Source organism: Homo sapiens, chromosome 12 (genome assembly GCF_000001405.40).
Source record: "Homo sapiens chromosome 12, GRCh38.p14 Primary Assembly".
NCBI lineage: Eukaryota > Metazoa > Chordata > Mammalia > Primates > Hominidae > Homo > Homo sapiens.
In genome coordinates, this window is record NC_000012.12 from 78,894,367 (window position 1) to 78,907,442 (window position 13,076).

Genomic DNA, 13,076 nt, shown 5'->3' on the forward strand with positions numbered 1-13,076 from the left:
TGATCACCATAATGTAGTAGCAAATGTCTACAGCCTAAAATAAGGCTGGCAGAGACTTGTACCCAAGCCTTATGACTTTCTAGCTGTGTAACATACACAAAAAAAAGTCACTTATTCTTTTACTCTGATTGAGCCTCAGTTCCCTTACATTTTGATACGCATCAAAATAATAGGATTCTCTTCATAAACTCCTCACGATTAAATGAAACAATGCATATTAAGTGCTTATCAGAGATCTTGGACAAGGATGACAACTCATTATGAGCTAGTTCTTACAATTACGGCTATTTAAAGCCAGGCACAGAAAGCCAAATATCTGACGATCTCACCAATATGTGGAATCTAAAAAAGTCAAACTCATAGAAACAGAGAGTCAAATGCTGGTTACCAGAGACTGGGAGGTGGGGATGGGGAGCTGTTGGTTAACGGACACAAAATTTCAGTTAGACAAGAAGAGTAAGTTTAAGAGACCTATTGTACATCATGATGACTGTGGTTAATAGCAGTATATTGTATACTTGAAAATTGCTAAAAAGTAGATTTTAAGTGTTCTCACCACAAAAAAATAATTCAGTGAGGTAATGCATATGTTTATTAGCTTGATTTAGCCATTCCACAATATATACATATATCAAAACATATTATACAATATAAACATACACAATTTTTATTTGTTAATTAAAAATTAGATAAGCTAAAATTAAAAACTAAAAAAAATTGTGACCAAGCCACTATTTTTGATGTATTCTCCGTTGAGGTTTTCCATACCATCCTGCAAAATACTTAGAAAATAAATATTTATTGAAATGAGTAACTCATGAGAATATTACTTTTTTGAGATATAAAATTATTTTGAATACAAAATGAGCAAAGATAAAAAAGTGTTTTTTCATAAAACTAATTTGTGACATTTAGGATTATAGGATTAAGTAATCAGCATATTAAATAAAACAACCAAAAATTCTTCAACTATAATGTTTATTCTGTCAAATGCATAATGTAAAATAATATTTGTTTTGGCAATTACTGAAGACTAAGCATTTGTTTGCCTCCCACATAATAAGCAGACTAAAGAAAAACACATTTGGTAGCTTGAAAAATGGCATCTTCATATGAAAAATTAAATATTTCTATAGACACATTTTCATTTATTTGTGATAAAGATTTAATTTTAAGTATTTTTAAAAGTATTCCATAACACAATTCCATTTGTTGTTGTTGATCTATATACTTACCCATATGTAAAATATTTTAAATAATAACATATTTGAAGCCACCGGGCACAAAAATGAATGATTGTGAAATGTGCAAAGTATTTGAATAGTGAGAGCTAATTCTATACTATTAAGGACAATAAAAAGTGCAAAAGTAATTGTAACTGCTAAAATATTATTTCAAGTTTTAGTCCATATTTTGATCTATGGTCTAAATTGAAGTTTATTGATTCTGTAACTCATTGGAGTTTCAACCTAGAGAAACCAGTCACTGTATTATGCTGGGGGCCTTATAAAAAGTATAATTGTGTAGAAGAAAGAAAAATGGGTAAGAGAAACGTAAGGACAGGAGACAAGTCAGCTATTTAGTTACCATGCAATGCAGTTATTTGGGAGCTTTTTCTCAAATGTAAACTGAGAATAATTATACCTAATTTAAAGCTGGGTGGTGCATAGAGCACTTGGATCAATTTCTGGCATATAGTCTGTGACAGAGCTATGTAAATAAATTAATGAATTTATATCTAGAAATCCAACTCTGTATACCACCAAATCCCTTTATTATTTTCTTTTCTCTAAGCATTTAATGTAAAGTTTGAACTGTATTATTCTTTCCTACTAATTTAAATTGCTGCTTGCCCTATTTGAATAAAAAATTGCCTATTTCTATGGTTTTGCTAAATAGTGAATAACTAGTGCCCTTACAGGAATCACAAGAAAAACACACTGAAAAATGTACTTGGAAGAAAGAATATATGGAAATATATGATAAAGAAATAACTGGGAAGATGCCTTAGGATAAATTATGAAAGAAAATATTTTAGCTACCCTTTTCTGTTGAACAAATGAGAAAATGTGGTCAAAAAACAAGGATAAATCTATTGGGAAAAAAAATTTATCTCCTATTACCCAAAATTTTACCTGAAACATGTTTTTAAGGAAAGAGAGAACAAACATATTCTGAAACATAGAAGAGGTGAGTTTAACTTGAAATTAAGAGCAACCACCCTCCCCAAGGGGAAAAATATCTCCAAACCTCTCTCCTCATGTAAACAGAGACTTTAGAGTATTAGCAGTCAACAATATTTTCATTAATTATTTATAATGTAGAAAGCCATGCCCATTTAATTCCATTTTCATTTAAAACACTACAAAATATGATATATCTTCATTTTAAAAATTATGTGAAAAGAAAATATCTGAATTATCTTCATTTCTTTTTGATGAATACAAAAAGAGAAAAAGGAAGTAGTTTTTACTTTACGATTTCTATATCTTTAGGAAGATAATAAGGAATCTTAAAATCCAACATATAAAATATCACTTTCTACAGCAAAATTACTTTCAATAAATGGAAACCTATAATTAAATAATTTACCTTCCTTAAGTCTGAGAACCTCACAATCATGCTCTTCAGTTCTTTTGACTTAACAAAATATCTATATAAGTGTATGACAATGTCAATAGTCAACTGAAGGCAATATATTCGAGGTAAATTTTATTTTAAACTTTTCTTCTATTTCATACATATAGACTACAAAATAGCAAACCTGGCATTTAAATATATAATTCCTTCAAATTAATTAAACTAAAACATGTCATAAGTAGCTTTTATACATGTTTTATTAAAAATAACACTTAGAAAATATTCAGCCTAATTTATCTTTAAAAATGTCAAATACCAGGATACTTTTAATGATTTTTGAGCATAAAAGAAAAGCAACTTTTCTTTCTCTGTGGTTCAAAGATACAGACATGGGAATATTACCCAGTAAACTATCCTTGTAGGATTAAATTTTCAGTGACCAGAAGCTAGATTGTTTTGTTTTGTTTTGTTTTGTTTAACAAATTAGGCTCAAATACTGTCCAAACCTAAAAGTGGATCTTCATCATTACATAAATTCTGCAAGCCTAAACAATGACAGCCCGAGACTGTTGTACAGAGACATATGTGAGACTTTATCCTGATCCTTTAAAATGAATAGTCAGATGATGGTTTCACACTGATACAAATTAGATTTCATATGCTGATATGCTCAATAATGCTAACAAGGATCTATATATAACTTATTAAGTGCTACAGGCAGAGCCTATGCTAGGGCTTTACATCTACCATTTCAAATGCTCATCAAAATCACAATTAACCTATTGATAAGTTTGTACTGGTAATTTAAAATTTGGAGGCATTCTTTTTCCAGTGGTTTTGAAATATTATGTTCATTAGAGAATATAGTGCCAAGCCTCTGATGCCTTTGTTGGTTTTTATTTCATGAAGTTAGTGTACACAGCACCTCTGCCTGAGCAGAGCTGAAACTCCCAAGTTAGGACATGAACCAAATATAAGGGCCACCCAGAGCTTGGGTTTAGGCAGCCTTCCTCACCTTTAGCTCCTAAAGGGTGAAACATCTCAGATGAAAAACCTCACTAACCAAAACTCCTAATTACTAAATAAAACTTAAGGCATTCATAAACGCTTGAATGTCTGAAATTGCAAGTCTATACAGTTGAAAATGCATTTTCTGAATTCAGATATTTGCCCTTGCTACATAATAACTGTAGAATGTTGAGCAAATTACTTAAACTCAGTGTCTCATTTGTCTTATCTGTAAAATTGGAATAAGACTAGCACTGCCTCATAGACTTATTTTGAGGATTAGAGTGACTTAATAAATATCAATACTCTTGGAACGATGCCTGGCAAAATTATTATTGTTTTGCCTTGTTGTTATCTTAGATAGGTTGTCCCTATACCATGCCAAAACTATTCTGTCAATTTGAGGGGGAAAAATTAAGAGTCAAAATAGCAAGTTGGTGCTTGAACATTTACTTTCCTTTTGGTTATTTTATCATTGTGTCAAAGAATTACAAACAACATAATCCCTATTTTCAAAACTTCCTTAGCCCTCTGATCTTCCCAGAGTCACAGAAAGTAGTAGTTGAATGGCTTTAATCTAGTTTGTCTTAGTAATAGACCAACAATCCATCAAGAAACAAATGCCATTCTATGGCCCTAGTTAGATAGAATTCATGATTGTTTTTTCCCCTAGGACTGCATTGCAACCTCAGACAAGAATGGCAGACAGCCAGCAGGTTCTGCCAGCTGGCTTTGCACTGCTCTCTGGGTTTTAGAGAACAGGAGCACAGATATTTTTGATTCTGCAGGCCAATTCAAGCATAATTTACAGTGAAGAAGAAACCCTTTAATAGTGATTTCGCATGTAGAGAAATTATATTTTTAATATAAAAGAACATCACAATTTTTTAACATGCGTGCATTTGAAATGGATACTTACAAATTATCAGCTAACATGGGACATTTCTTTAAAAAGCATGTTTTCCAACAATTGATTGCAAATCCAGTAAAGATATAAAATGACCTGTTGGTTTTGAGATATTTTATTCATTCATCTCTTCAATACATCTTTAGTGAGTGTCTACTATTTGCTCAACACTGGCATGACTCTGTATTAACTTTATTATTGACAGCTTTGATGTGGCACATTCTGCTGTAATATTGTTGCTTATACTATACTAATAGTGGAAACTATTGCTCACTAACTATAACTAGTTTAAAATAAAATCTGAGATTAAAATTTAGCATTTAACTTTCTTAATAATTGAGATTATTGCTGAAATCATTATGAATGTTTTTAGTGTAGGGAACTTTGCCTTGTCCCTCAGTGTACTAGAACAGTGCCTGACAGTTAAGAGTGCAATGTAATAACTAATTCAGTAAATAAGTATGAAAATCTAAGAAATGCAGAATGTCAATTAGAGGAATTATGCTAATGATGAAAGGCTACGAACCCTGGAAAAAATTTTCATTTCAAAAATATACATAATATTCTCGAAATATAATTTTTATTTATATTTAAAAAGATGTGCATAATTTGTATTAAATACATATGAATGTATTATAAGGTAAAAAAGATGCATGTCTATATTTAAGTGTGGGTGGAGAGAAATACAATCTACTCTATTTAAAAGTTTCTAAAATGTACTTGTGAAATATTAATATTTTTCACCTAAAAGAGTTTTTTCTTTTTTCTTATTCAAGAAAGTTTTCTCTTTGAAATTTAATGTAGCGCTTAAAAATATTCAGTGCTTTGTTTAATACGCAAACTTAGCATAATTGGATTTTGTGAGCCTGGCTCTTAAAACACTATGTGAAAACTTTTTCTCTAATACACTTAGTTCAATATGCTTTATACTTTTTATCAAAACTTTGTAATGAATTTTAAAATAATTTTATAGCTAGATTATTTTATAGGTAACACAAAATATTTTCCAAGATGAAGTTCTTTGAAGCAAAGTCATTAATTTTGTTATATAATTGAATTTAGCTCCTACTTTTTAATCTAAGTTACTTTTAGAAATATAAATTAGAAAGTCATATGAATAGATAGACTCCTTATTGAAAGTAAAGTAGCATTATCTTGTAATTGTACAGTAAGACCAAACGCAAATGTGACAAACCAGGTTAATCAAATAAATGGTCATTGAAAATTGCTATTAAATGTGTAAGTGGTGACTAAGAGAGGCTGAGGTAATGATAATTATATTTCCATAGTTTTCTGATAAAGTAGATGTTTTGGATGGAAAAAATACTGAGGTGATGTTTATTTACTTATTATTTTATTCTTTCATTTAACAAATATTGATTTAAATTGACGCTTTGCCAGGCACTCTTCTATTACTAATACTAAATTTGTGAACAAGCCAGATAACAAAACTGCTCTCAGGGAACTTAAATCTGGGAGGAGAAGGCAGATGTTAATACATTATAACTATGGTGAAATCAGGTGGATTTAATTGTGAGAAGAAAATAAGAAAGACCAGAAAATGATGTGGGGAGACAGGGCCAATTTAGATTGAATAGTCAAGGAAGTCTCCTTTGAACTGAGATCCAATGACAAGATGCCAGCCATTACAAGATTGTGAGTCCTATTCTCTAGGCAAAAGAAAGAGCCAAATGTTCCAAGGGAGAGAGCTGATCTCGGTGTGTCTGAAAAATGGAGAGAAGGCACATTAGAGTGGAGCATGGAGAACTGGAGGAAGGAAGTGGAGAAGAGGCTAGAGCACATGCAAAGTACACCACATAGGGCCTTGTAGGCCATGGAAAGAACTGGACTGAACTACAAGTATCATGAATTGTGAACAGCATATTGGTACTATTTATAATTTTAGAAATTTCTTTTATGTGGAACAATAGCTGTTCTATACTTTTTATAGTTACATGAATTTGGATTCCTGTTGGTGAACATTCTTATTTCTTAATTTGAATACTCAATACCATCAAAATGCATGTAATTTTTAATTCATTGCGGTTTGTCAGAACACTAGAGGCAATTAAAATCATTTGACATAGTATTTTCCTTTTTATCCTTTTACATGAATGCATTTTTCAGTTATTTCAAAATTCAATTGAACAAAATCTAAACCATTTATTTCACTATATCCTTCATAAAACATCACACTTTTTAAAACTTGTATGGATATGTATCTCTATCTGTTTGATTTTATATTAATCCATTGCTTCTCTAACCAGAAAGAATAGTAGTGAACAATATCTTTTCAGGTTAATGATTTAATGTGTCATGAAATTTTTCATGAAGTGTATCATGAAATGTTTCATGATGATAAAACTACTTATTTTCTAAAAACATTAACTTTGAATTGAATGTGGACCTCCTAAAATATTTTTTTCCAAAAAGAAAGTCTTCTTCCATGAATGATGAAGATTAGTGTTGGTTACTGAGTTCGAGATTTTATTTTGGTGTAGTATTTTTTCCCTTTTCTTCATTTTCCAGACATGAATGTCTGCCAAACACACACTGTATTTAAACCCCTGAGAAGTTCAAAAGGGATTGGAGACAGCAAAGGGAGGTCTTTTATATTTCAATATCCTCTGTAATTAACATTTCTGTCTTAGCATTAATAAAACTAAGCTTTTGCCTACTTTTGCTTTTGATTTTAGTGGTTGAAGCCATTATTATTTGTGCAAAAAGACAATCTAGTAACACAAGTGTAAATTGGAGGGTAATTTGAAGAGATAATTTGCTGTTGTGAAAACAAGTCCAAATATTTGTTCATGTAGTTGTTGGCAAAATGGTGATCATAGACCAATCCAATTCTCCTCAGACACCAACTGGTTGTTGTTGAGTGCTTGGCCTTCACAGTAGTCATGTGATCAAACTCCATCATACATGCTTGAAACATCTTTAAAAATGGAGAGTACTCTTAATGGATGAAATGTGGATGCTGCCTCCTTACCTCTACATTCCTAAAAATAATCTACATTCCTAAAAATACACTTCAAACTGGAAACCATCATTCTCAGCAAACCAACACAAGAATAGAAAACCAAACACTGCATATTCTCACTCATAAGTGGGAACTGAACAATAAGAACACATGGACACAGGGAGGCGAACATCACACACTGGAGCCTGTCATAGGGTGGGGGATGGGAGGGAGGGATAGCATTAGGAGAAATACCTAATGTAGATGATTGGTTGAGGGGTGCAGCAAACCACCATGGCACATGTATACCTATGTAACAAACCTGCACGTTCTGCACATGTACCCCAGAACTTAAAGTATAATAATAAATATGTATATATATATATATACTTTAATACTGATTATGCTGATCATATAATCGCAATTACACACATAGTGTTGATCTTATGTGTGTAACTATGCCCACTGATTCTTGAAAAAATGACAATACATTTGTTTACATAAATTGTAAAGAATCCAATTGAAAGCAAGCTCAACATATAGAGTAGTAAAAACATGAAGTGTATCTTAGGGACATCTCTGTACCTTCCACATAGGGCAATATAATAGGTCACAATTTATAAACAGCCATCTACCAGTGTTAGTTCCTTATAAACAATGATGCAAACTAGTGTAGGTAATATAAACTGAAAATATGGAAAAGAAAAAATAATTTGTCAGTAATAACAGCCCTCACTTTGAACTATAGCAATACTATTGATGAATATCAGTATTATTATATTTTTTCCAGGAGGTTTCTCATTTTTCTAGAAAGTGGTAGACCTTGAGTTTTTTAACAACCAAATAAATAAATATACAAAATCAAATTAAACATAAGAAATTTAAGTTTATTTTTTTCATTGATGTGGGTGCACACACATTAACTGTAAAGCAGAAGTAAATTGATAGTTGGTTATTTTACTGGCAACTGTGTTTTGTTTGATCTTGACATCTGATACTCATGAAATTTGTAGCGTGCTGTGAAAGACTCTGACACTATTAAAAATTTGAAGCTCCAAATAAACATACTGGATGCACCATTTTCTGAAAGTCATTTGTGAGATTATGTACTAAAGCAAGGGTCTTAATTTCAAGTCTTAACTATTCAAACTCTACTAACGTAAGTTCTGAAAGAGGAATTAGGGTCATAGTATTAAATCAGCTGGATTTGGCTACAATTTTACAGAATCAATTCTTAACTCAGAAAATTGTCAAAATTCATTTATCTTATACCTCATGTGAAAGTAGTATGGCAGTTCATAGAAGTAAAATAAAAAATCGTCAAATCTGAAATTTATCTTTCAAATAAATGTAGATACTTTTTTGTGTTTTATCTTAAAAAGAGTTTTGTGTTTTATATTAAAAAAAGAGAAAAATCTCAAAATATTTATACATATACAAAATATATATACAAATATATATTATATGTATATATATTTTTGAGATGGAGTCTCACTGTGTCGCTCAGGCTGGAGCACAGTGGCACGATCTTGGCTCACTGCAACCTCTGCCTCCTGGGTTCAAGCTATCGTCCTGCCTCAGCCTCCTGTGTAGCCTGGGATTACAGGCACGCACCACCATGCCCAGCTAATTTTTGTAATTTTAGTAGAGATGGGTTTTCGCCATGTTGGTCAGGCTGGCCTCGAACTACTGACTTCGTGATCTGCCCGCCTCGGCCTCCCAAAGTGCTGGGATTACAGGCGTGACCCACCGCACCTGGATAAAATATTTGTATATTTTATATGTAACACTTGTTTTATAATTATCTGTACAATTCAATAGGCTTTTATTCTTTCTGCATTCTATAAAAAGGTTTTCTTTATTGGTTAAAGAGATACACATATATTAATTTCAAAAATTGCTGAATGAACATGATTTACAATATTCTGAATATTTAATAGGTATGTATATTTATCATAATCTTGAATGACAAATTATAAGATAGTTATACATAAATTAATTTATAAATGTGCCAAGAATTTTCTTATAGTTTTTGACCATATTTTATAAAAAGAAATTTTTGTACCTTTTAAGCTAGAGGACAATTCTCTTACCCCATTATTTTTTTTCTATTAAAAAATCACATATTATTAAAGAATCACAGTTGAATCTGTATTACAGAAAACTTGATCTGTCTCATTAATGGAACCAAGTAACTACTGTATTCAGTAAGAAAAATAATAATTTAAACAGCTATATATCATAACAGTTATTAGAATCCCCGGTAACCAAAATTTAGTCATAAACCAAATTTACTAATTTTTGTTTTTATAGTGAAATGTTACAATTTAAAAAACAAACTGGAAACACTAGTGTGTATTGAATTTGAATTTATATTTTTATAGACAATGTTTTCCTATAAATATTTGTGAGATTTTAAATTGGTCATGATCTGCATATGACTTAGCCTTATGATACTTCTATATTAAGTTACATGTGATTTATCCATTGGAAAGCTAATGGAAAGCTTAGATACATTGAAGAGAGACACTATTAACGTGTAAAAATATAAAATTTGAATTTTTTAGTAAGTATTCAATGAGCACCTACTCTGGAAAAAAATAATGTACTGGATCTTTGGAGAACATGGATGTATAAAACATCATAACCTCTATTCACCAGTTTTCGAGTATCTCGACCTAACTCTGCCCAAGGATGAAACTCATTAATTCTAGAGTAGCTCATGATACGTAAGTCAACCTGAAACACAGAAAAACTATCTTTATATGGAAAACTTTTAAAAAGAAAAGTGCTGCAAGATAATGTTATTTGACATTTGAAGGGAAGAGATACATATTCCATTGTTCAAAAATGATGCAAAATCTGCTCCATTACATGAGTAATATTATATGAGCCATAGTCTATACAACATAAAAATACACAAGTGGACATTCTTAGTGTTCTAATAACATACATACAATTTTAACCTGAAAGATCAAATTATATATATAATTGTCATTGGCAATTAGGCATAATAGAACTAAATGTTTTAGAAGAGATTTTATTTTTTTGGTAAAAGATTTCAAAGTTTAAATAGAATCAACTTTCACTTAAATCCATTTAATAGTTTGTAATATTGTCCTATCTTGAGTCTCAATTATCATTGTATTTAATCATCTTATAATAAGAAGGCCAAATATGAATTAAGCAATCTCCTAAGATATCTCATAAAACTGTAGCTTTTTTGTTGTTATTGTTCTTACCTGAATACATCCAATAGTAGGCACTGATTACTTGGTAAGGCAATTTTTTGTTCCAGGACCATTCTAATCTTGAGAAATGTCTTCCTGTTTTCTGTGGGCCAGAAAAGTTTATCATCTTTCTTTAGTAACATGTTGCCATGATTTTAAAGAGATTAATTATCTGGGGCCAGCCCATAGTTCCTTCTTAGTAGAAGTACAGAAATCCCGCGGGGGGCGGGAACTGACTTACCTACACACTTCCACATAACATACAATGGGTTTTGCCATTAAGATCAGCTTTAGGAGTAAGAATCCACCAATTTCATGGAGAATTGGAAACTCTCCCTATCCAAATTATCTAACTTGTATGTTGACAGTGGTGTCCCGGTGGTAATTGAAGGAAAACAGTTGTAATAGTAATAGCTAAATTGTCTTGAACACTCACTAATATCAGCTTTACATTCAATGTTTCCTTCAAAGTCATACAATTTATGTTTACTAAAATTCCTTAAGCAGGAATGGTTGGGAGAAAGGTAAACCATCTATTCTTCTCCCCTAACCTTTTATTACATGGCATCTACAATATATTGGATTTTGATTTTCTTACTGTTGTTTATTTTCATTTTATTTCAGTTTCAATAAAATAAACCTAAATACCTGAACATTGGACTATTATTCCTTTTAAGGGAAATGACCTAGGAAAAGTAAAGATAGAGTTTTTTGACCTTTTTAATTTTTTTTTAAATTACAGCACATTACAAGGCTATTAAAAGTGTTGTAAATAATGTAAAATCTATTTAAAACTCTAATATGGAGAAAAATTACTCTAATTATATGTGCTGCAGCATCAAGGAAGTTTTTTCCCCCAAAGGGCTTCTCATATTTCATAAACACTGATGAGTTTTCCCTTCACCGAAGTAACATCAAAATTATATTTGTAATTTAGAAGTAAGTCTCCTTGTCAGTATATTTCAAGGAATCTGAAGAAATAAAAGCACTATTTTTAGCATACTCCAATCAAGCCAGTAAATAAAGATATGGAATATATAAATATAAAGAAATTTGTGTATTTAGAAAGTACAATTATAAAAGAGGTTCCTTTCAATAGAAGATGATTTATTGAATTATTTTCTATAACATTAAGAAAGTCTTGAAATAGAAAAAAAAACAAAATGAAATCAAATATTAAGTTCTGGTGATTGATTTTATTGTAGGCTTTTGTGTATGTATTCAAAAAGTAGGAAGATGTTCTGAGGGAAAAATGTATTTCCTCATGACAAGTGGAAGTTCATTCAAGTATTTAACAAATACTGGTGAGTACCTGCCAAGTACCTGATTCTAAGGGCTGAAGATATAGCAGTGCCCAGAACAGAAAAAGATACCAACCTTCATTTAGTTTATGGGATAATAGAGAGAAGCAGATAGATGTACTAAGTTGTAAAATATTTAGTATGTCAGACTCTAAAATTCTATAGAGAAAAGAAAGGGAAAAAGGCCGTAACAGCAGTAAATACATGAGTTGTCTGTGGGCCACAAATTCATGCGACAGCATTCAAGTTGTGAGGGATACACTGGAAGTCCTGGCCTCTTGTGGAAATTAGAGTAAACAGAGGATTCATTCTGCCTGTCTTGATGCAGGTCGTGGACAGACTGGGGGTGTCTGTCCTGGTGTAAGAAATGACCAGAGTCCTGCCAGGAAGAAGCAGTGTTCTGGGCTCTATCTTTACTCTGCTAGAGCACCACGGTATCCCTAGGCCGTATTGATCATTCTGTCATTTTCAGGTTAACATCTCATCACCAAAACATTTATTTTAGTGCCTACTGTGTCAAACGTTATGCTATATCTTGTGCATACAAAGAAAATTAAGACTTCATAACCGCACATGAAAAGCTTAATTCTGGCACTTTAATAATACCTACTGCTATAACTTTTGATGTAAATTATTTAAAGATAAGATTTTCATGTTGTATTTATTAAAGTGTACATTTATGGCAAAGTGTGTTTAGACAGGGAATTTAACATTTATTGAGGTCCTCCTCTTGTTTGGGTTTGTGGTAGGTGCTTCAGGTACATTACCTTATAAAATCACCTTAAAACATTATCTTCAGTTGGGTGTCATGTTTCCCATTTTAAAAGAAGAAAAAAAAAGATATGCAAGTTCATAAAGCAAGCAAGTGGCAAAGCAGACAATTGAATCTTAAGTATTCATTTATTCTTTCTGTCAAAATAGGATGCCTGCAAAAACCACCCCATAAAATAGATTCATTCTGTAGCTTGATAATATTATCATAATTACCTATACAATATGGAAAAATCAATTAGTTTATATGAAAATACATTAAATCAGAATATATTACATAATACATAAATAGATTTATGTATAAATCAGAATATATT

General features: G+C 31.2%; 1 protein-coding gene and 1 long non-coding RNA gene across 15 annotated transcripts in view; one reads left to right on the forward strand and one right to left on the reverse strand.

Annotated features, from left to right (window-relative positions):
* The window catches only part of SYT1 (synaptotagmin 1), a 588,027-nt gene that overhangs the window by 30,385 nt on the left and 544,566 nt on the right, over positions 1 to 13,076 (forward strand). For 5 of the 13 annotated variants that reach the window (XM_047429479.1, XM_047429484.1, XM_047429480.1 and 2 more), the window contains exon 1: positions 1 to 13,076. This exon is cut by the window's right edge. The exons of the other annotated variants lie outside the window; for them this stretch is intronic. The gene's annotated coding sequence lies outside the window, so the exon portion shown is untranslated. 13 annotated transcript variants of the gene reach the window in all.
* LOC105369863 (uncharacterized) overlaps positions 10,658 to 13,076 on the reverse strand; it is a 197,856-nt gene continuing 195,437 nt past the window's right edge. For both annotated transcript variants that reach the window (XR_007063385.1, XR_007063384.1), the window contains one exon: positions 10,658 to 10,790. This is a non-coding gene — a long non-coding RNA (uncharacterized LOC105369863). The remainder of the gene's footprint in view (positions 10,791 to 13,076) is intronic.